We start from the raw sequence: 24612 nt of genomic DNA, 5'->3' as shown, positions 1-24612 counted from the left end.
CAGACAGGCAGTGAGGGACAATAGCAGCCTAGGGTTCAGGGTAAGACAGTCACACAAGAGTTAGGACAGTGCCCAGGGTGCATGCTGTCTTGTGCTGCAGCTGAGGGACCCCAGAAAGCAGCCTGCTGTGGGTTTGATACCTGGGGGATACAGTCATTATTGGGCTAAAACATTGAAATACATCCTGTTCTCGGAGGGACCAGAACAGAGTCCAGACTGGTCCAGCTAGTTTCCCGTGATCTCAGGATACTGCATTCCCAGCACATTCTTTTTTTTTTTTTTTTCCTGGAGACAGGGTCTCCCTCTGTTGCCCAGGCTGGAGTGCAGTGGCACGATCTCGGCTCAGTGCAACCTCCACCTTCTGGGTTCAAGCGATTCTCCTGCCTCAGCCTCCCAAGTAGCCAGAACTACAGGTGCCCACCACCAAACCCAGCTAATTTTTGTATTTTAGTAGAGTATTTTGTATGTAGTAGCATGTTGCCTACAGTAATGCTTGAGAACTACAGGAAAGGGGAAAGAACGGGGTCAGTCCAAAGCCATCCAGGACCCCACACCACATCCTTGCCGTCTAGCTCTCTTCTTATGGCATGGCAGTGAAGTTGTTTACTGCTTTGGGTTGTTTACTGTTTGGCATGGCAGTTGTTTACTGCTTCAAGACCAGCCAGAGAATCTCTCCTCTCTCCCCCTTTCCCTCTTCCCTCTTCCGTATTCCCTTTATATTCTACCATCTGCCCTTTCTCTGTAAATCTCTCTGACTTTCCTTTTCTCTGACCACTAAACCCTCTTTTGGTCCTCAGATTAGGTCAGGCCAACCCAGGATAATCTCCCTTTTGATCAACTCAGAGTCAGTGAATAGTAAAGTAATTACATCTGCAAAATCCCCTCACTTTACCCCATATTATAACCTAATCACAGGAGTGACATCCCGTCGGAGTCACAGGTTCCACCTACACCCAAGGGAAAGGGATGACACAGGAGTACACCCCAGGAGGTGGGAATCTGAGGACCACTTTAGAATTCTGCCTGCCACAGATACAGTGTCATTACTTGCAGTATGATAATTCTTCTATGCTAAAAGATCCAGAATGAGAGATTAAATCATACTGAATATGTTGTGGTCAGGGGAATTTTTTTGATTTCCTGATGTGCCACTTTTAACCATTTCACTTGGATTGGTATGTTACAGCACACTGTGCCTAGAGGCAGGCATGCATTTGGACTGAATTCTACTTTTTTTTTTTTTTTTTTTTTTGAGACAAGGCCTCGCTCTGTCTCCCAGGCTGGAGTGCAGTGGCACGATGTCAGCTCACTCCAGCCTGTGTCTCCCGGGTTCAAGCGATTCTCCTGCCTTAGCCTCCCAAGTAGCTGGAATTATAGGCATGCACCACCATACCTGGCTAATTTTTATATTTTTGGTAGAGATGGGGTTTTGCCATGTTGGTCAGTCTGGTCTTGAACCCCTGGCCTCAAGTGATCCACCCACCTCAGCCTCCCAAAGTGCTGGGATTATAGGCATGAGCCACTGTGTCCAGCCAGAATTCTACTCTTGATGGCTTCAAATTTCAAACAGCTTGTCTCTGAGCCCTCCAAAGATATCATACCCTTTGATTGGGCTCTTTTGACAATCAGAACCATGGATGTGGTCATCTGGGATAGGATGGGGTGGGCACTATGGCAACTATGCTTTTGATAATAGCAGCCTTCACGTATTGGGGATCTCCTATGTGCTAGGTGTATTATACGCCATTTTAATTATGTCCAGATCTCACATCGGCTGCATGCAATTGCCAAGATGCTCTTCATTTTACAGAACAGGCAGAAGAGACTTGGGGAAGCCGAAGGGTTTGCCCATGGCTGCCTGGCTGTGAAATGTCCTCATCCTGCCCATGCCACGAGACCTCCTCAGTTCAGCTCAGAGCGTTGGGAACTGTCATCCTTTCCCTCAGGATACTTTCTGCCACGTGACCCATTCCAAATATGAATTGCATGATTTATTGGATTTTCTTAAAAGAATAAATCACCAATACCAGAGAAAATCTCCAAAGGAACACTCTTTGAGAGGCCAAGTAGAAAGCCAGCAGCCGAGTTACACAATTCTAGAGGGACACGTTGCTGAGGGCACCGCGCAGGAACATCTGACAGAGGCAAAGTGAAGGGGGGTGGCCCAGGGCGCCCACAGATGATGGGGGTGGCCCGGGAGGCCCACAAATCACGGCAGTCCCCAAGCTTTACATTTAACACTCCTCACACAGAGTGACTGATCCCCAAGTCCTGTCAGGAAGAAAATCAAATGAAGTTATCAAATTTTTAGGAGTATATGGTACGTACAGAAGAACAGTTCACAAGCCCAGGAGACTTCAGACCAAGCGTGGCAAGAAGCCTACCTTGCGGCAGTTCCAGCACAGCTGAGAAAGCGTAAAGGAGGAAGCATTTTGACCATTTTTGTGACTGACTGTTACACATTAACCTTCTTTTTAGGGCAAACAGAGTTAGTTTAAGCTGATTTGTCTACAGCTGGTTCACTGAATCATGTGGACTAGCCAATGTTTTGTGTTTTGTTTATGATTAGAGCTAATATCTCGGGGAAATCAGGATGACTTAAGTTTTGGCTACATGGTTATAGGTGGTTGGCCTTGGGGTGTGTCTGAACTGGGGCCTCTATTTTTCTTTAACAGTCCTGTAAAATGCAGGGATACATAATGTTACTGATGAGCTATTACCCACCAAGACTGAAGTTTGGAAGCAAGTCATGTGATGAATCTGCTGTAACAGAGCTCGTAAGATCAAAAAATATTCATTAAGTCACTATTGCATTGTCATTATGTTCTCACTTTTATTTTTGTGAGGAAGAAATAGAAATCTGTTTGTTAATCTAGGTATTGGAAATGAAAAGCATGTGTTCAGGTGGGAGTTAAGGAAGGGTTAGAAAATAGAACCTTTAGATGTCTTAAGAAGTGGTAAAATAAAACTGGCAGTGTATCAGATCCATGAGAAGCCAGCCTGTTCAACAATTCTGGGTAAAAATAAGAAACATGTGATGTTAAAGCATATATTAATGACAATATGTAGTCACAGTTTTATGTTGTAGCCTTGTTTATAGACTCAGTCAGCATCTAAGGTACCCCTTAAATATTTCAGACATACTCTTTTGCATTTTATGGAAAAAATAAAATGAGGTGAAAATATTTGCAAATTGGGGTTTTCTGAAGACATTCCATCCAGCAGATTCACCACCTGAATCCTTTCTTTGCCTTCAAAATGTCATCTCAGGTTCAAGCAGCTTCCAGCTGTCTTTTCTCTTAGAGTCATCTCTGGAGCTAGACCCATTACCCTTTCATTGTTTTAATTCCTTATTGAAATGTACATGTGGGAAAGTGTGCAAATCATAAGTGTAGAACAGATCACATCCTATAACAAGGACTCAGACAAGAAACTCACATCAAGAAAAGTGACTTCTTATAGCATAGGTTTATTTTGCCTCTTTTTGAGCTTTATATAAATGGAATCATGAATGGGTTAAGTTCTGGATTCTTCTGCTTATCATTAAGCTTATGCAATTCATTCATAGAGTTGTGTAATTACCATATAGCTTATTTATTCTCATTGGTGTATTGCACTGCAATGTATATACATGTATTACAAATAACTTCTCCATTATGTTATTGATGGATTTTTTGGTGTCTTAGCTCAGGCTAACATAACAAAATACCATAGACCAAGTGATTTAAATGACAGAAATTTATTTTCTCACAGTTCTAGAGGCTAGAAGTCCCAGATCAAGGTGCTGGCCAATTCAGTTCCTGGTGAGGATTCTCTTTCTATCTTGTAAACGGCTGCCTTCTCACTGTATTCTCACATGGTCTTTCTTCAGTGCATGCCTTGGGGTGGGGGACAGTTTGAGAGTTGAAGCTCTCTAGAGTCTTTTATACAAACACTAATTCTGGGAGATCAGGGCCCCACCCTTATAACCTCATTTAATGAATTTAAATTACTTCCTTGAAGTCTTCGTCTTCATATATAGCCACACTGGTGATTAAGATTTCAATATGTGAATTTGGAGGGGACACATTCAGTCCATAACAAGCTGTTGCAACTTTGTCATTATTATAATAAAAGTGGGGTGCTATGAACATTCTTGTACAGGTTTCTGGTAAGCCATGAACACATTTCTAAAGATATATACAGTCATCCCTCAGTATCCATAGGGAATTTGTTCCAGGACCCTCCAGATACTGAAATTCTCAGATGTTCGAGTTCCTTGTAGAAAATGGTGTGCTATTTGCATATAACCTACTCACATTTTCCCATATATTTTAAATCATCTCTAGATTACCTGTAATACCTAACACAATGCCTACATCATTTCATCCATGTGGATTTGACATACTATTTGGCACACAGCAAATTCAAGATTTACTCTTTGGAACTTTATGGAATTTTTTTTTCTGGATTATTTCTATCAGCAGTTGGTTGAATTCGCAGATTCAGAACCCACAGATAACAGAGGGTCAATTGTACTTAGGAGTGATATTGCTGGATCATAGGATTTACATATGTTCAGCATTATAACAGTTGTCCAAATAGTTTTCCAGAGTGGATGTACCAGTTGCTCTTCCTCTGTTGAGAGTTCTGGTTGCTCCATGTTTTTTGTCTTTTTGTTTTAGTTACTGTGTTGGAAGTGTAGGAGTATCCACACAGTGGTTTTAATTTTTATTTTCTGATGACTAGTAAAATTAGGTACTTTTCATGTTATTGGCCATTTGCATATCCTCTTTTGTTGGGTGCCTTTTCAGGTTTTTTACCCATTTTTAAGATTGCCTTTTTGATTGACTTGTGGGAATTATTTATACATTCTAGATATGGGACCTTTGTCAGGTGTGTATTGCCAATATCTTCACCCACCCTACTGGTTCCCTTTTCACTCACTGACTGATACACTTTGATGAACAGAAGATCATGACTAAAATAGTTCAACTTACCTTTTTTTTCCCCTTACTTGAGAGCCTCTATTTCAGCTTAAGAAACCTTTGCCTACCCCAAGGTCCTGAAAATATTCTCCTGCCTTTCATACTTAAATCTATAATCCACCTAAAAGTGATTTTCATAAATGATGTGCTATGTAATGAAAGTCCATTTTCCCATATATTCATCAACCTGACATGGTACCATTTATTGAAATCATCTTTTCTTTATTATGCTGCAGTGTAACCTTGAGATACAGCAGGTGACTGTGTAGGTGTGGGTCTGATTCTGGGTCTGTTCTGTTCCATCAACAATTTTGATGTTATTCTTCTTTATCATTAAGTTTAAATCATTTTAAATACTTATTATAATTTTTCCTTTGACTCATAAATTACTTAGAAATATGTTGCTTAATCACTGTGGGGATATTTCTAGGAGTTTTTTTTTCTAGCTTAATTCTTCTGTGGTCAAAGAATGTATAATGAATGAATTCAGACATTTTAAATTTGTTGAGACTTGCTTTATGACCCAGCATATAATTAAGCTTAATAAATATTCTATGTGCACTTGAAAAAAATTTGAATTCTGTCCTTCTTAGGTATAGTACTTTTTATATATGTTAATTATATCAAGTTTGTTAATTTTGTCGCTCAGATCTTTTCTATTCTTCACTAAGTTTTTGTCCACTTATTCTACCAGCTATTGAACAGGGTGTGTTAAGATCTCCTACTATGATTGTGTTTCTCTGTTTCTTCCTTAGTTATCTTTTGCTTTATATATTTTGAAACTGTGTTAGTGGATGCATAGACACTTAGAATTATTACACCATCCTGGTGTAATAACAAAACTAAAGTTTTGTTAGATGCAGCCCTGATGGCAGTGAAGTCTCAGGTTTTCATTTGTCTGAAAATGGCATTATTTTACTTTCATATTTAACAGCTAGTTGTAGGCTTTACAGACCATGTAAGTTCTCTATCACATATTCATTCTCTCTTTCTCTTTCCCTTCCCTCTATACCTCTTATAGACCAAAGTTTACTGACTCCTGATCTATATTATTTTCTCCCTCTACTTTGGATTTAATCACTGTTCCTTTGTAACTTTTTAACATGGATGATTAATTCATTAATTCCTAGCCTTTCTTTTTAACTCTTGCAAGTATTTAAGGTTATTAATTTTTTTCTCCATACTATTTTAGCTATATCCCCAAAATTTTGGAATGTAATATTTTTGTTATTACATGGTTTCAAAATATTTTCTGATTTTCATTTTGGTTTATTATTTGACCCATGAATTATTGTAAGTGCTTCTTTGTTTGCAAGTATGTAAAAACTACTAAATATTTTTAGTTATTTTTATTATAGATTTCTTACTTCCATTGTGGACAAAAAGCATTGTCTGTATGATTTGAAATCTCTTGAGAACTTTGCTTCACGATTCAGAATATGATCAGTTTTTTTAAAATCATTCCATGTGTGCTTGAAAATAATGTTTAGTCTTCTGTTTTGGCTGCATTGTATTTGTCCATTTGGTCATTTATTATGTTTTTCACATCTTCTGTACATTTATTGGTTTATTTTTTACTTTTTCTCTCAATTACCGATAGAGATGTGTTAAAATCTTTCATCATGATTGAGTACTTGTCTATATCTCCTTTTATTCCTATGGATTTTTAATCCTGCATAAATATAATGCTATGTTATTGAATACAGCAATTAAACTGATTTCTTCCTCATGAATTGAGCAGTTGAACAGTGTAGAGGGTGCTTATTAAATTCTACTAATGCTTTTTGCCTTTTGATTTATTTTATCTGCTATTGATTCAGCTATGTTAGCTTTCCGTAAGTTAAAACATTCCTGATGTACCATTTGCCACCTTTCATACCTTTACCTATAGCACTTTTGTATTCCTCTGTTTTAGATTTATCTCTTGCAAGCTGCATGTAGTTAATTTATTCATAAAATCAGTTTCACAGCCTTTGTCTTTTAACAGGTGCATTTATTTTTAATGCAATTGCCATTTTCCCCCATTCAATGTGGTGTTTATTCTCTCCTTACACATCTTCTTTTAAATCAATTAAATATTGTTTAATCATGTCTTTTTAAAAATTCTACAAGTTTTGAAGTTATACCCTCTCTTTCCATTATTAAGAGTTTACCCCTAAAATATGCGTATGAATCACATCTCAAATTAATTAACATCTTAACCTACTTTACACCCAGGCAAGACAGGGACTTTGGAGTAGTTTAGTTTTATTCATCCTTATTCTCTCCTGTTTTGTAAGTTGTTGTCATTTATTTTAGTTGTATACTTTTAATCTCATCAGACATTAGTGTTTTATATAGTCAACATTCATTTTGATTTACCCATATGCTTACCTTTTTTGTTTCTCCTCATTTCTTCTTGCATGTCAGATCTTCCTTCTGTTTGAAGTTCATCCTTTACAGTTTCTTTAGGTGAGTGCTAATTTTACTCTCTCAGTTTTTGTTAGTCTTAAAATGTCTTTGTTTTGCCCTCATTTTTTGAAAACACTTTTCATGGGTCTAGTATTATAGATTGCCAGTTATTTTCATTCAGCACATTGAAGATTTTTTTTTTTTTGGCTTCTTCTTTCCATTGTTCCTTTGAAGAGGTAGGCTGTCAGTCTATCACTCCTTTGAAGATAATCTGGTTTTTTTCTTTCTCTAGGTGCTTTAACATCTTTTCTCCCTGTCTTTTATATTGTGCAGTTTCACTAGGATATGTTAAGGAAGACATTAATTTTATTGTTCTTAGAATGTCTTAGACTTTTAAAATCTGTGAGTTTATTTTTACATATTTTGGAAAATCCTCAGTCAGTATTCAATATTGCCTGATTCATGCCTTTCTGAATTTTGATTGGACAATGTTAGATCTTTTCAGTCTATTCTTATGTCTCATAAACTCTCTTGCATCTTTTCTCTTTCCCTCTTTGTTGCTTCTTACTTATCTTCAAATGTATTAACTTTTTCCTTCAACAGTGTCCAACCTGATATTAAACTGATTCTTACTTTTTTACTTTAATTTTTATATCTTTCATTTTAAGTTCTATATGTGTTTTCCAAATCTGCCTCTTATTCTTTGGTCATATTTTGTTTAATTCTTTTGTGTATTTTAAACATTTTTAACATGCTTGTTTACAGTCTCTAATCATTTTTAACCTCAAGTTTATAGGTATCTATAAACTGCTGATTTTGTGTGTATGACTCTTACTCACAGTGGCTTGTTTTCTGTTGTGTTTGTAGTTTTGGGTTGTGAGCAGGATGTTATATGTGGGACTCTTGTGTGGCCTGTGTTGAGAGTGTACTCCTCTTAGAGAGATTGTTTTTGTTTGTTTGTTTGTACCAGTTTCCCAAGAGGAATTACCTTTGGTACTTAGAACCAATTTTAGGTTAATTTCTTGGCTTACTGGTTCCAAGCCACAAATCAATTTAGGTCAAGTCTTCATGACAGTCAACATTTCCGGGGAAGTTTTTATTTTCCTCTGCTAAGCCTAGGCTAAAAGAGACAAATTTTCTTCCCAACTGCCTTTGCCAGAGCAAAATTATTTCTAATCTTTGCATTCAGGATATAGTTTTTGAGGATCCTAACTCTATATGGAAGGAAAAGGCCATCCCCAGTCCCAATTCCCCACATTTCAGGGTCTCCAGCCTTTTTTCGAGTTCTTATGAAGTGATTAAACAGTTAAATGTCTTCACTCGTTGGCAGTTGCTGGTTTGGTGCATACTAATTTCCATCCCATATTTATTTCCGGTTGTTGGAGATTTACTACACTTTCTTTCAAGCTTGGATATACATTTGAAAGGATTATTGAAAATAAGTATTTTTATTTTCTGACCTCTTTTCCTCTTTAAATCTGTGCCCTCCTGCTCATCTTAGGGAGAGGGATTTCTCTTTTCAAACGACCAGAGACAAAGCCTTCAGCCCCTACTTTATCTGCAGTGCTACACGCATTCACACAAGATCTTATTTTAAATTATTTTTTGCTAAGTATTACAGAGAAATCAGGAATAAATAAGCATAGAGTAACTAACAAAAGTAAAAATCAATGAGGGTTTGTAGGGATATAAGAAATCTTTTCATTGGTTTTTAAAAGTTGCTTTCTTTGGTTCATTAGGCTTAACACCTAAAGGCCAGGTCTTTCCTTACATTCCTCACATGGTTCCTTTTCCCGAAGATCTACTCAACTTTTTTCTTTAAATCTTTTTTATCCTAATACTACAATCTAACCAATGAATGTAGGCAAAAAAAAATTTAACATGCTGTATTTAGATGTCTACCCAATTCAAGAGTGTAATTTGCATTTCTGAGAACCTCTGGACAGTGCTTCTCAAGCAATCTGTGTTGAAGGACAACTCTTTTCTTTAGATTTCCAATTCACTGTCTCCCTATGCTTCTATAAAATTTAATAAAAATATTACAGCAAAGCGCATTGCTATAAAAGCTCCTAAACACTTCCTCCCATTTTCTGTACTTGCCTCATTGTGCACCAGCTGACCTCCCTTTAAGCAGCACCAGGCACTCTGTGTGCAAAAGCTTCCCTTTATTTGCAGTTCATAGTCTTTCTTGCATGAATGTCAGAGCAGTTGTGCTTACTCTAAAAAGGACTTTGGTGTATAAAGGTACCTTTTAAGCCAAAGCATTTTGGTTCACTCATTCATTCATTCATTAGTATATGCATAAATATACTCCTTTATTTAACTCAGGATTTTGGACCTGTATATGCATAATACATATATGGGGCTTTCTATATGCCACGCCCTATCTTAAGTACTTTCCCAATATTAAATAATATAATGTTCATAAAAACTCTGTTAGATCAGGACTATTATTATCTCCATTTTTAAGAATTGAACACTGAAACAGAGTGGTTAAGTAAGTTGCCCAACACCACACTGCTAAGAAATAGTGGAACTGAGATTTGAACCCAGGAAGTCTAACTCCAGCTTCTGTGCCTAACCAGTCTGCTGGCTGCCTCTCTGATGACTACCTTAGACACTCTAGTCCAGATTCTGCAAGGGTAGGTGTTCCAAAGCCCACTATTTCATCCTCATTTTCAACTTGAATCAGTTGGTCTTTATTGCACAGACCTCTGAATTGAAAAGGGAAATCAGGTCTTTCACCTCCTTTGTGGGAAGAGTGATGATTGGTTAGCGTGTCTGCCATGGAAAGTGTGGTGATTTTTCAATGCTGCTTGCTATGGTGTAGAGGGGATTGACAGAAGACACTTCAGAGAAGTCACCTATTAGCTTCAGGGCTCTGTGCCTTCAAAAAAATTGAAAATTATAACCAAACTAAAAATTTCAACTCAATCTATTGAAACAGCGGAAAAATTTAGTCAAACTAGCATTAGTTTGCATTAGTTAGATTCGCCCAAAATATTTTTAACTGAATTCAACCCATTTTTAAAACTTAATCGAGACAAATGAGTTAATTTACATAGAAATTGTCTTTGGCACCAGAACAGAATGTCTCCATTGTAAGACTATAGAGTAAACCCACATGCCATTTCCTTCGTCTTGAACATCTTCACATCTACAGGAAAATTGGAAGATGAGTATTTATATATCTTGCACCAAAAATCACCAGTTTTCGGGACTTTGTCACATTTGCTTTATCTCTCTTTATGTGTATGGAAGTACATACACTTTTTCTGAATCATTTGAATGTGTATTGTGGATACTTCACTTCTTCTGAAAATAAAGACATTCTCCTATATGACTTAACAGCATTAGAAAATTAGCACTAACTTAGTAATGTCAACTAGTAGAGCCCATACTCAGATTTTCCCAATTGGCCCCAAAGTCATTTTTGTAATTTATTTTCATTCCAAAAAACCCAACTTTATGCGTTACATTTGGTTGTTATGGCTCTTTATGCACTTTTTGAAAAACATTCTCTCTTCTTTTGTTTTTCATGAAAATGGATATTTTAAGATTCCCAGCCAGTTCACGTACAATGGTCATATCTCATTGTTGAATGCTCCAGTGGGGTTAATTCCTCACCCTTCTCCCAAGTGTAGACCTCGGGGTCATATGACCCTGGGTTACTCTCCTTATATCTGTAATAAAGGCTGGAACAAGCAGAGGCCCTGCTGATCTGCACAGTCTGTAGGGATAGGAAGGGGAAAGTCCTGCTATGCCTAGACACTGGCAGTGAGCCAGGTTGGGGAGAGAGAAAGCTCAAGGGAAAGGAATTGGGGTGTGGGGAGGAAGGAATATGGGAGGAATGGGATAACATGGATTTGAGGCACTTGCTCATTATATGGACCCATTGGATAGCCACTCCCCACCTAGGAATAACAAGTCAGAAGTCTTAAAGAAGAATCCTCAGTCTCTACTGCAGGGGAGAGGCCAAGCCAGCGCCTCCCCAGAACCGGTGGCAGAGGAATAAACATTGTGTACAGCACATATTCGTCAGCATTTAATAGTATCATTTATCTGAAGATTTGAATATATAATGTATTTTTAAATACTGTCTTCATGTGATATAATGAAAAAAATTGCCAAATTCATGTTGGTGTTACAGCGAGGGAGGAAGGAATGAGAGTGAAATGGGGGAGGCAAATAGAGGGAACTTCAGCTTGATCTTTACTCGTTTTTCTTTTCTTTTATGTTGAAAGGAACCTGCTGGTGCAAATATGGCAGAGGGGTGACATTCATTTGGTTTTGGGTGATGGGTGTGTTTCTTTTGGCACTTTACAAAATTTGAGCTCCAGTTTTGCTCGTTACTCAGTAATACGGCTTTTGAAATCATATAGGTCAGAGAAGTTAAAATTGGCTTGCCACAAACTCAACCATAACAAACAAAATTAGACTGGCCTTTTTTGTGATCTGATTTTGTCCTGGATGTGTGAGGGCTCCTGTTAAGGGTCAGCGGATCGTGGGCAAGTTTACTTACTCCCTGTGAGCGTCAGTTTCCTTCTCTGTAAAATGGGAATAACATCCCCTGACACAGAGCTGGTTGATTTATTGAAGGTCCTGCAGTGTGCAGGAGAACACACTAACCCAGCCAGCAGGAGCTTAAACTGTGAGGTCATCATTATCCCACACAACTCAGAGTCTGAAAACAGGGATGTTCATGGCAGGGCTGGCAGCTGCACAGTGTTATGGAGGACCCAGGCACACATAGCACCCTGCTCTTCTCTCCCCAGCGGGTCAGTGCTAGCTCCAGCTGGGGATGCAGTGTAGCTGTGGCCGCATCAGGCCACACATCCTCACACTGCATCATTCAGGGCAGCAAGAGAGAGCCCCTGATTGTGGCCCTTGTGAAGGAGGAGCAAGCCCCAGCAGGTCTCCTGTTACATCTTGTGAGCCAGGCGACAGCAGTCCATGGCAAGGGGAGTGGAATTGCACAGATCGTCTTGGACGTATGAACATTTGCACGTTGCCCCATGGGGCAGGCAAGGAGGCTTGCCTGAAAAGCCCCAGACACAAGCAGGGCGCTGTCAGCAAGGATGGGAGGGAAACGCTGTGGGGCGGGCAAGACAACGAGGTCTGCCGCAGAAATGCAGACCACCTGCCTCATTAGCATATTCCCTGTCCCTCCTCTCCCTGATTGTCTACTCATGTTCCCTATACTCCCTGATGGTTGCCCAGAGCACTAGCAGCTGAGATCAATGCAGAGGATGAACAAGGCTGCCCACTTTGGTGTCAAATGTGTCGGATTTCCAGGTGTTACAGCCATTTTGTTGAGTTTTATGCCTTTGTAAGCAAAGATCCTGCCATTTTATTTTACTCTGTGGCAACCCAGTTTTACTGTATCCCAGCCTGGTTGTTATAAACACTTTTTAAAAGTCAAGTGAGACAGGTTGCTATTTCACAGCCTAGAGACAAAGAAGTGACTAAGTAACTGCGTGTTTTTTCCAATGACGTCCACAACGGTCCATCCAGTGGTAGTGTCAGTTAAAGCCCTTACTTGCATTTCTCATTTAGCTTTAATAAGGTGACTTGTAGGTGGTAAGAATATACCAATTTGTTAGTGTAAGCATTAACATCTTCATATAATAAATAGATGTTCGTCTACTTAACTTTGTAGTGTTAATTTTAATACATGCTTTTATTTAGAATTAAGGGCGCAGTTATTTTTTATCAGTAATGCCACTTATTACAATGGAATCACTGAATCTTAACCAAAAAGCGCTGAAGAGTGGATAAGGATTCAGTTTAAACAAAGAACCAAGAAGTTTTTTTATATTAAACTTTGTTAATATGGCAACACATTAGGCAATAACTGTCTGACTCTAAAATAAATATACTCCTGAGGGCCTTAATTTTCAAGCTTACTCGCAGTCTTTATCCTTCATATTTCATTATTTCTATTCTGATAGAAACAACACCTTTTATTAAAATTAGATATTTTTATTTGTACAAATTTATGGGGTATATCTGAAATTTCGTTACATGTATATAATGTGTAGTGATTGAGTCAGAGTGTTCATCACCCGAGTACAATACATTTTTGTTAAGTAGAATCACCCTATTCTGCTATCCAACATTGAATGTATTCCATCTTACTGTATGTGTGTACCCTTTAACCCACTTCTCTTCATCGTCCCTCACCACTCACCCTTCCCAGTCTCTGGTATCTGTCTTTGCACTCTCTACCTCTATGTGATCACATTTCTAACTCCCACATATAATTCAGAACATACAATATTTGTGTTTTTGTGCATGATTTATTTCACTTAGGATAATGACCTCCAGTTTCATCCATGTTGCTGCAAATGAATGACATCATTCTTGTTAATAGCTGAATAGTATTCTCCTGTGTATTTACACGTTTTCTTTAGCCATTGACAGATGGAATGTAGAAATGTAAAACATGTTCTGCTTCTTCAGTTGTTCAAATCCTATTAATATTTCTCTCTTTTTTAAAGAATTTTTGATTAAAATGCTTTTATAATTTCTTGGAAATATCTATTATAAACATTCTCATTTGATTGAAGTTCCCAAAGTGTTGAAGGCCCTAGGGAGGTGCATGTTATATTTCATCCTCCAAATAAAAACATATATATGTCACTAGAAGTTTCACATAACATTAGAAGCTTGATACAACCACTCATAAGCTTGAAGCAATTTTTAAACAATTTTAGTATTATCCAAGAAGTGACATGTAAGATGACATTTGTGTCACCTGCCTAACATGTAAATGAGCCAGGCTATTTATCCTTTCCATAGACACATTCTTTTGAAAAGCAGCCATGAGTGCAGATGCACCTGTCATCAGGTAGGATAGAGTCTCCTGTAGCCATCAGCCTGGAGATTACCTTTGCCTCGCTTCTGTGCTATTCACCCATTTCCCTCCTGTTTCCTGTATTTCTCTGGTTTTGGTTTCCACCCTCATTTTGTGGAGTACATCCTCCTGAAGCTTCCTGAGAAAGAGTGAATGAAGATGTCTTGACATGAGTTCACTAGAAAACAGAACCCGGCCAGGCGCGGTGGCTCACACCTGTAATCCCAGCACTTTGGGAGACTGAGGTGGGCGGATCACGAGGTCAGGAGATTGAGACCATCCTGGCTAACACGGTGAAACCCCGTCTCTACTAAAAAAAAATACAAAAAATTAGCCAGGCGTGGTGGTGGGCACCTGTAGTCCCAGCTACTCGGGAGGCTGAAGCAGGAGAATGGCATGAACCCAGGAGGTGGAGGTTGCAGTGAGCCAAGATCGCGCCACTGCACTCCAGCGTGGGTGACAGAGCGAGACTCTGTCTCAAAAAAAAAAAAAAAAAAAACAAAAACAGAACCCAAGGTAACTCCCAATGGCTATTTATTTCAGAGACACAGTCCCAGATGTGTTAGCAACTAGTTTTATTGAGAAATAAGGCTGCTCTGAATTTCTTATATGAGTCTTATGTTTTCATTTCTCTTGGGTAAATAAATATCCACGAGTGGAATTGCTGGGTCATATGGTAAAGGTAGGTAATAGTCCATTTCACACTGCCATAAAGATACTACCTCAGACTGGGTAATTTATAAACAAAAGGGGTTTAATTGACTCACAGTTCAGCATGACTGGGGAGGCTTCAGGAAACTTACAATCATGGCAGAAGGGGAAGGGGAAGTAGGCACCTTCTTCCCAAGGTGGCAGGAGAGAGACAGCACAGGGAAAACTGCCACTTTTAAAACCATCAGATCTCATGAGAACTCACTCACTATCATGAGAACAGCATGGGGGAAACCGCCTCCATGATCTAATCACCTACCACCAGGTCCTTCCCTTGACACCTGGGCATTACAATTCAAGATGAGATTTGGGTGAGGACACAGAGCCAAACCGATATCAGAGTATGTTGAACTGTATTAGAAATTGCCAAAAGTTTTTCTAAAATAATTGTGCCTTTTTACAATCCCAACAGCAAAGTATGAAAACTCCAGTTGCTCCATGGCCCCTTAGACATCTGTGCTAGTATGCAAAATACAATTGACTCTTGAACAGCACAGGTTTGAACTGCACAGGTCCACTTCCACTTATATGTGGATTTTTTTCAACCAAGTGAGGATCAAAATTACAGTATTCACAGGATGCAAAATCCATGTATATGGAGGGCCAACTTCTTAGACATACAGGTTCCACAGAGCCAACTATCAGACTTCAGTATACACAGATTTGGGTGTATGTCGGCGGGGTCCCAGAACCAATCCTGTGCAGATACTTGGGGATGACTGTACCATTGATTTGTGTATATTGATCTTGTATCCTGTGACCTTAAAAAATTGCTTATTAGTTATGGTTTTTTGTAGCTTCCTTATGATTTTCTGTGTGAACTATCATGTTCTCTGCTAAGAAGAATAGTGTTATCTCTTCCTTTCTGATTTGCGAATACAGATTTTATTTCTTTCTCTTGACTTATTTCACTGGCTAGGACTTCTCATACTATGTTGAATAGCAGTGGAGAGAGGGCGCATCTTTGTCTTTTTCCTAGTCTTAGAGGTAAAGCATTCAGTCTTTCACCATTAGGTATGATGTTAGCTGTATGTTTGTGTAGATTTTTTAAATCAAGTTATGGAGATCCCCCTATTCCTAGTTTTATGGGAATTTTTAATTATGAGTATTGAATTTTGTCAAATGCTTTTTCTGTATTCATGATATGATTATGTGATTTTTCTTCTGTAGCCCATTAATATGGTGAATTATATTGATTGATTTTCAAATATTGAGCCATCCTTGCATCCCTTGGTCATGGTATATAGTTCTTTGTATATGTTACTGTGTTCTACTTGTTTGTATTTTCTTATGAATTTTGCATCATATTCATGAGAGATGTTACTCTGCACTTTTCTCTCTTTGTACTTTTTTTGATTTTGGTATCAGGGTAATGTTGGCTATTTTCTGGAGGAGCTTGTGTAATATTGGTTGTTGTTAGGTATACCTCTTGGTATAACCTTTTTGGGAATTGTTCTAGTTATTACATTATATACACATACTTTATCAAAGTCTATTGGTGTTGACATTTTACTACTATTGGTGAAGCATATAAACCTTACCTGCCTTTTTGCTTCTTTATTCTCTACCATTTATAATAAAATTGTTTTAAATATTTATTCAACATACATTGAAACATATAAACAGATAGGCAATGTCATAATTTTTGCTTTAACCATCAGACATAATTTAGAAAACTCAAGAGAAGAAGGAAAGTCTTATTATGTTTGCCCATATTTTTGTTCTTTCCATGTTCTTCCTTCTTTATATGCCAAAATGCCTTCTTTTATCGTTTCCTTTCTGCCTAGAGAACTTCCTTTAGCCATTTCTTTAAGGTAGGCTTGCTAGGAACAAAATCTCCTTGCTTATTACTGAAGAATATTTTTGCTAGCTTTAAAATTCTGGGCTGACAGTTATTTTCTTTCAGCACTTAAAAAATATTATCTTGGCTGGGCGTGGTGGCTCATGCCTGTAATTCCAGCACTTTGAGAGGCCAACGCAGGCAGATCACTTGAGGTCAGGAGTTCGAGACTAGCCTGGCCAACATGGTAAAACTCTATCTCTACTAAAAATACCAAAAATTAGCCAAGTTTGGTGGTGCATGTCTGTGTCCCAGCTACTTAGGAGGTTGAGGCAGGAAAATCACTTGAACCTAAGAGGCAGAGGTTGCAGTGAGCTGAAATTGCACCACTGCACTCCAGCCTGGGTGACAGAGCAAGACTCTGTCTCAAAAAAAAAAAAAAAAAAAATTTATCCTGCTTCCTTCTGGCCTACACGGTAGCCAATGAGAAATGCACTGTCTTTAGAATTGTTTTTCCCATATAAGTAAGGCGTTGTTTCTCCTTGGCAGCTTTTAAGGTTTCTTTGTCTTTAGTTTTTAGAAGTTTGACTATGATGTATTTTGGCATGAGTTTCTATGGGTTTTTTTTCTGTTTAGGGTTTGCTCAGCTTCTTGAATCTGTATGTTTGTTTGTTCATTTGCAAAAATTGGGAACCTTTTAGTGATTTAGTGATTATTTCTTTGAACACTTTTTTTTTTTTTTTTTTTTTGATACGGAGTCTCGCTCTTTCACCCAGGCCTAAGTGCAGTGGCGCGATTTCGGCTCCCTACAAGCTCCACCTCCCAGGTTCACGCCATTCTCCTGCCTCAGCCCCCCGAGTAGCTGGGACTACAGGCGCCCGCCACCACGCCCAGCTAATTTTTTGTATTTTTGGTAGAGACGGGGTTTCACCTTTCACCGTGTTAGCCAGAATGGTCTCAATCTCCTGACCTCGTGATCCGCCCGCCTCAGCCTCCCAAAGTGCTGGGATTACAGGCGTGAGCCACCGCGCCTGGCCTCTTCGAATACTTTTTTAGCTCTACCTTATTTCGCCTCTTCTACGGACTCCAGACTTTTGTCGCAGTCCCACATGTTCCTGAGTTGTGTTCTGTATATGTGTTTTTTTTTTTAAGTTTAATTTTTCTCTGTTGTTCAAATTGGGTGATTTCTATGTTATACCTTTACATTACACTGATTCTTTTTCTCTTCTCTCCAATCTGCTTTTCAGCACATCCATTGAGTTTTTAAAATCAGAGTTGTATTTTTCAGTCCCTATTATATCTGCCCATATTTTTGTTCTTTATTTGGCTCTGTTTTGTATCTTCTATTGTTTTGGTAAGACTTTCTATTTCTTTACTACATTTTCTAATTTTTCATTTGTCTTAGGTATGTTTGTAATTGCTTGTTGAAGTATTCTTAGGATGACTACTTTTAAATCCCAGTCAGATAACTCTAACATCTGTCATCTCAGTTTTCATATCTTTTCTTGTTCTGTTTGAAATCTTCCTGGTTCTTGGTATAAGTGATTTTTTTTGTTTGTTTAAAAGGGTATATATTTGGTATTAAGTTATAGGACTCTGGGTCTTACTTAAATCTTGTGTTTTAGCGGACCTCCTGACACCACTCTGGTAGGTTCAGGGGGCCATTGCCTGACAACTGCCAGAGGGTAATTGAAGTACAGGTTCCCCCTCTGCCCCTGTTGATACCTGGGGAATGGGCTTGGTACTTCTTGGCAGGGGTACTTCCTAGCTGAGAGGAGGCAGAGATTCTCATTACAGCCAGATGAGTGTGAAAGTTCAGGCTCCCTGTGTGTCCTCTGAAGATAGAGGGCAAGGTGCTTATTACCACCCAGTGGGGTTGAGGTCTTGGCTTTGTACTCAGCCTTCTCTGACACTCCCCAGGTGATGGAGCAGGCAGTGATGAGCACCTTGTTACAGCCTGGTGAGGGTGGAAGTCTAGGCTTCTCACTAGAACTTTGCTGGCAGGGGTGGTGGTCGGGTTATAATTTTTTCTGTGATGTTTGGCTGGAATAGAAGAGGAAATGTCTAAGCAGCTACTGTTTTGCTAAGCTACCCCTTTCCTGGTATTCTGTCTAGAGAGAGCATGCTTTTTCTTTTCTATCTTTTTTTTTTTTTTTTTTTTTGTGGCCTACTCTCATTGGTTCGTTTTTACAGTATCTAATCTGGGATATGTGAGGCAAAAAGAAACTCCAGGGAACCCACCATTATGTCGTTCCTCAAGTCTCAAGATCCCTAGTTAGTCTGCCACTTCTTCTCCACTTTTCAGAGTCTTCTAATATGATTTTATACATAATTTCCAGGGCTTTTCGTTGTACTTAGTAAGAGAAATAGGAAAAAGTACATCTGATCTATCTTCCCTGAAGTGGAAGTCTCTAAATGTAAATATTCATGAAATTTAACATAACTACACCTATGTAACTATAATGGTTTTGATGAATCAAATGAAATATGAACTATACTTTCAAAGGTATGTGTGCCTCAAAAAAGCAAGACGGTGAAAGGAAAAAATAGCTTTCAGGAGGGAAAGCTGTGTTCAAGGAAATTACAAAGAAATGTTTTATCTTGTGTAAAATACGTTTCCAGATTCAAGGAGAGAAGGTGCTGGCCTTGAGTTTCTTAATGCTCATGCTAATTGATGGGAGGATTTGGCCACTTCTTGTCCTCAAAGGGAAAAGAAATCTATATTTTATTTGAGGAGAGAAGTAGCCATAATGTTCCCCCTTTCTATTGAAACCTGTAGAAAATCTGTCCCTGATGTTTATGCCTCCTTAGCAAACACCCCCAGTGGCCCCTTCCTTTTCTGGGATCCTGTTCTAAAGTGAGCTTCTTTTCCAGGTCGCCTGAACTGGTGGTCCACTGTGTGCACGAGCTGTAAACGGCTTCTTCCTCTGGCCACAACAGGGGATGGGAACTGCCTTTTACATGCTGCTTCACTGGGTAAGCTCCACAGCACAGACAGAGGGTGGCCAGGCTCCAGGCCTGCGTAAGGAAAGACATATGCTATTGAAGGAAACACTATTGAAGGAAAAGCATACACTAAATAGAGTCACCCATGTCACTGTCATGAGAAAGTCCCCAGGAGACAGAGCCAACAATCCTGGCCCTTCTTGTCAAGTAGCACTTGCTGGAGAGACAGAACACACATAAGAAAAGACCTGGCGTGATAGAAGGAGGCCTTGAGCATAGCTGCAGGGATGGGACTTAGAGACCGTCGCCTGGTACAAATAAAAAGGACTTCCTGGGAGGAGGTGGGATCTTTACTGAAACTTGAAGAACTTGAGAGACTAGAAGAGGGCATTGCAGGCAGGGAGACCCTGCAGATAAAGCATAAAGGCAGGAATGGACAGGGTGTTTGGAGGTAGGGGTGAACGAGGTAAAGCTGGAGTAGGAAGTTTTGGGAGCAGTGCATGAGGTTGGGTAAATGAGGGTCCACTATGTTGACAGCAGTCAACAGTTGGCATGGACTAATGGAAACAGACGTAGGTACTGCTCAGATAAATCACAGGGGAGTCAGCATAGTCAGAATATACCACAGAGAGATCAGCACACTTGTCCAATAGAGACGTGAGCTTCCCGATCACACAAAGCCACACAACACAGAAATATTTGGATAATTGAGGATCATCATCGACTTTCTGGAACCTCAGTTATCCCTTTAGGCCCAGCGTTATATGCACAAGGCTGAATCCATTTTGATAGGTGAGTCTGGGTTTGCACCAGGGACCATCAGGGCCGGTTGGTTCTTACCCGCCCTGGAGGATAGCGCCTCTCCAAAACACACAACCCTCACACAGGAATGCAGTCCTTGTTTGTCAAACTTGCATCCCCAACAAACATGGCTTTAACTGGGTGCCATGACCTACATCAAGGGCCAGCCCCCAGACCTCTCTCTCTTTGGACCTGCGGTGAGGCCTATTCAGCAAGAGGTAGGTGAGATAAGACTGTAAAGGGCTTCAAGGGAAATACATCAGGGTCTTGAAGGGTTCCAGAGGAGGATGGAGAACAAGGGAAGCATTCCCCAGGCTTGACCTGCAGTGAGGAAAGGCAAGGCAGCCACTTACCTGCTTCATCTCCATGTCATTGGAGCACATTCTGCTTGTTGGCATTGCAAAAGTACTCCACATTCACCATGGTGAGAAAATGAAAATCAGCGACCCCCACCCAGCGGCGGCCACTCTTAACAGTTTGGTATTGTCATCATCTTCCGGTCTTTTGTCTGTTCTTCAGGTGAAATGATGATCTTGCTGTGTTCACAGTCTTGAATCCAACATTTTCCCTTACAATCTGAGAATTTTCCCTGCTGTTATCCTTCAAACACATGATTTTAAGTAGTTGGGTCTTATTTTATCATAGTGGATAACATTAACTATTCCCCTGTTATTGAGCATATTTTGCCTTGTTCTTTCTAAAACCTGGAGAAAGAATCTAAAAGAATAAATCTCTCATCTGTGTCAAACAGCAGCCTCATTGTGAAGTCTGGGGCATGGAAATGTTTTTGTCCCTCAGCAACTGCAGCATGTAGAGTCATTGTCCCCATCAGCACAACAGCGGGGCAAGGCCACACCCCACAGCATTTTCCCTGTGAGCACAGTGGGCCTCCCAGGCCTGCCTGGGAAGAGAGAGCCTCCCTCAGGCTGGTCATTTCCATCTGCAAGAGAGCCTGGGCCATGACTGACCAGGGCTGTGAGACCCCCCTCCAAGAATCCCCTGTACAACAATAAGCCCAGAGCTCATAGCAATCTGTCCTCTTATCCCAGCACTTTGTTTCATTTTGTGCCCATATAGCTAAACTCCGCAGGACTGGGGCTGCCCAAAGCTGCCACATGACATTCACCAGCAGTCCTTGTGGAACCCCTGTTGGCCTGGCCTGACGTTGAGCTAGGATTGTGGGGCACATATAGAAATGACAGTCATCTTGGAGTCAGGCCTGTAGGCAGATATATGCAGGACAAGGAGGCCATCTCTGCAAGAGAGACCTGCCCAAGGAGCTGTGGGAGAGTCCCAGAAGGCAGCTGAAAGAGGTCTGAGGATGAGCGAGGAGTGACAGTGGTCATTCCCCCTCCCCTGCCATCCTATAGAAAAAGGCGAAGCCTTGCTGGCTAGAAGCCTGTGGCAGGCCTGGGCTATTGCATATCCAAAGATGCCCAGCCAGTTGAGCCTTTGAAAACATCAGTTCACATTACTCTCCTTCTGTAGACTCTCCAGAGGCTCACAGTTCCCTCGAGAGCCCCCTTTTCACTCTCCCTCTCTCCTCGATCCCACTTTAGCCACCTTTCCCTCTTGCCTTTTCTCAAGTACTGCCCCCTCTGGGTCTGTCCCTGGCCTTTCCCTGTGCTGGGACAGCAACTTGGCTCCTTCCTCCACCCATTTGAGCCTTTGCTCCTATGTCTCCATTCACGCCACAGCAGATCTGCCTGCCTCACCTCTCCTCGTGGGGCTGCCACCCTCAACATCGTACACTCTGTGCCAGCCTCGTGGCTATCCTCACTTCCCACTTCCCCACAACATGTGCTCCATGAGATTTTAGGAACTTCATGTGTCCCGGCCACTGCCACATATATTCCCAGCACCTAGAATGAGTGAGTGGGTGCGTGGGTGGGTGGATGGCTGGATGGACGGATGGATGGATGGATTCCCCTGTGTTTTCCCTTGTAGCCAGAGCTGCCCTTCTCTTGAGCACTTCTCCCATGAGTTGGGGTTCTTGATCACATCTAAGCTGCCCAGAGCACATTCTCAGAGATGGCTGGTTTCTCTCTATATCCTCTCAGCACCTGGCACAGGGTGAGACCCTCTCACTAGGAAGCAGGCGCTCTCTCCTGGGCCAGGTGTGTGCAGTGGTGTCACTGACGCTCTGCTTCTCAGGAAGCTGAGATGCCTCAGGGCTGGAGAGGAGGGAAATGGCAGACCCTGGAGAAGCCAGGATGCTAATGGCCTCCCTCACCTGGAGCCCTCCATAAGGACACTGGACAGCCTGTCCCTGTCCCCTAGTCAGTCCCCCACCCAAATGTAAGACTTGAATAATGACCATTAGGTCCTCAAAGCAAACCAGCAACATTGAGAATGGGTTGCCAAGGGCACCAGAGAGGAAAAGCACTTGATTTTCACCCACTATTGTTTTGCTAAGAACAGGATGTGCTGCTTCATTCACCTAGTTGCCTTAATGGGAAGCCTCAGGAAGAAGGCTGGAGGGGAATTAACAGAACCGCTGAGTAAGGAGGCTGTTCTGCGTGCAGACAGGAGGCTCTCCCAGTGGGTCGTGGTAGTTTGCATCACCTCTGGCTTGTCTTTTCTCATGTCCTTTCTCTCCTCTGTTCTCCCTGGCCTCCTGGCTCCAGGAATGTGGGGGTTTCACGACCGGGACCTGGTGTTACGGAAAGCTCTCTATACCATGATGAGGACGGGAGCTGAGAGGGAAGCCCTGAAGCGGAGGTGGAGGTGGCAGCAGACGCAGCAGAATAAGGAGGTTGGTATCCACTGGCATGGCCAGAGCCCGGGACCCAGGCCAGATGCAGCCTCGGGCCGTGGTCGAGTCCACAGCATGGCCTCCAGGCCCCAGACAGTCTTATGAGGGGAAGGCAGAAACAGCCCCTGGGATCAGGAAAGTCTCCTGCTTTTAAGCCCACAGAGGAGGAGCCTGTTAAAATAGCAGAGTCCCGGCAGACAGCAACTATGCGTCCACTTGTGCTTCCTTAAGGCATAATCATGAAAGCTGCCTACCTTCATTCCCAAAAGCATCCTGGCTTGGATGATGAATTATATATATGACTGCCTGCTGTCAGGTGCAGCCCATGGCCCCAGCCCCTGTGTGTGAGCTCAGTCCAAAGGGATTCCCGATTGTCCCCAACCATGGTAAACATGAGGACCTTGCTCTCCTAGAAGAATCTGAACGGCCAGCCCCAGTTAGGTGCAGGCACAGGTTAATGCTCGGTCATCCCCAGCCCCTGAGAATGACCCTTGTTGGTGGGCAGATTCCCAGCAGCTCTGGAATTAGAGCTTGGGGCTTCTGAAAATATATTGTGCATAGCAAAGGTGGCCAAGAGGGTGCAGTTGGTATAGTTGGTAGCTACCTACAGATGTGCCTGGCCTGGGTCCCGGTGAGGCTGGTCCAGATTGGGAGGGTGAGGAGAGGAGGGCAGCGCAGCTGTGGCCCACCCCCCTTCTGAGCCGGCTCCCCTCTGCCAGTCAGGGCTGGTGTACACAGAGGAGGAGTGGGAGCGGGAGTGGACGGAGCTGCTGAAGCTGGCCTCCAGCGAGCCGCGCACACACTTCAGCAAGAATGGCGGCACGGGCGGGGGGTAAGTGCTGCCCCTGCTCTCCCCAGAAGTCACCTCCAGCTCCAGGCCACCCAGGGCTACACACAGCATGGGGGGATGGCACGGGGGGGAATGTGGGACTCTTGTGCTGTGGAAGACAGAAAGATTCCAGCTTTCCAGCATTAGCTTCAAGACAAGGACGCACGGGAGGACCGTGGGTGATGGCTGGCCCCGCCAGGTGCTAGTGGAAGGGTATGCAGCCCCCACATGCACTATGCAGGCAGAGGTGAGCTCACATGAGCTGCCTCCAGGCCACTTTCCTTGAACTTTATTGTGCACAACAGTTGGGGTGTGCGCCTTCAGGGCACAGCAGGCCTCTGGAGGTCACACGTGATGGTGAGCATTCCCACACATTGCCATCGCACGAACCTGGCTCTGAAGTTTGGGTTTTCTCCCCCAACTAATTAATTTGTGGCTTCAAGAAGTTGCCCTGAAAGCAGAAGCTCATTAAGCTAGCCTGGTGTTTCCCAGATGGGCTCCATGGATATTATATGTGTTCCCAGCAAAAAGACTTCACATCTGTGCATGTTTAGGAATAGCTTGTTCCTACAGAAA

General features: G+C 41.5%; 1 protein-coding gene across 3 annotated transcripts in view, besides 2 other annotated features; it reads left to right on the top strand.

Moving 5' to 3' along the window:
* OTUD7A (OTU deubiquitinase 7A) overlaps nt 1-24612 on the top strand; it is a 395276-nt gene that overhangs the window by 320286 nt on the left and 50378 nt on the right. For 2 of the 3 annotated variants that reach the window (NM_001382637.1, NM_001329907.2), the window contains 3 exons: nt 19580-19681; nt 23080-23207; nt 23927-24039. In NM_001382637.1, the coding sequence (NP_001369566.1) occupies nt 19580-19681; nt 23080-23207; nt 23927-24039 (343 nt within the window). The remainder of the gene's footprint in view (nt 1-19579; nt 19682-23079; nt 23208-23926; nt 24040-24612) is intronic. The other variant, NM_130901.3, reaches the window with a different exon arrangement.
* Nucleotides 11774-12312: an enhancer, noted in NCBI's record as "H3K27ac-H3K4me1 hESC enhancer chr15:31830279-31830817 (GRCh37/hg19 assembly coordinates)". NCBI's record gives its function as "activates a minimal SCP1, AML or CMV promoter by ChIP-STARR-seq in naive H9 embryonic stem cells {active_cell/tissue: H9 hESC(naive)}" and the evidence as "EXISTENCE:reporter gene assay evidence [ECO:0000049][PMID:30033119]".
* Nucleotides 21411-21910: an enhancer, noted in NCBI's record as "H3K27ac hESC enhancer chr15:31820681-31821180 (GRCh37/hg19 assembly coordinates)". NCBI's record gives its function as "activates a minimal SCP1, AML or CMV promoter by ChIP-STARR-seq in primed H9 embryonic stem cells {active_cell/tissue: H9 hESC(primed)}" and the evidence as "EXISTENCE:reporter gene assay evidence [ECO:0000049][PMID:30033119]".

Source organism: Homo sapiens, chromosome 15 (assembly GCF_000001405.40).
Source record: "Homo sapiens chromosome 15, GRCh38.p14 Primary Assembly".
NCBI lineage: Eukaryota > Metazoa > Chordata > Mammalia > Primates > Hominidae > Homo > Homo sapiens.
Note: the sequence above shows the minus strand (reverse complement) of the source record. Positions and strands in the feature narration are given on the sequence as shown.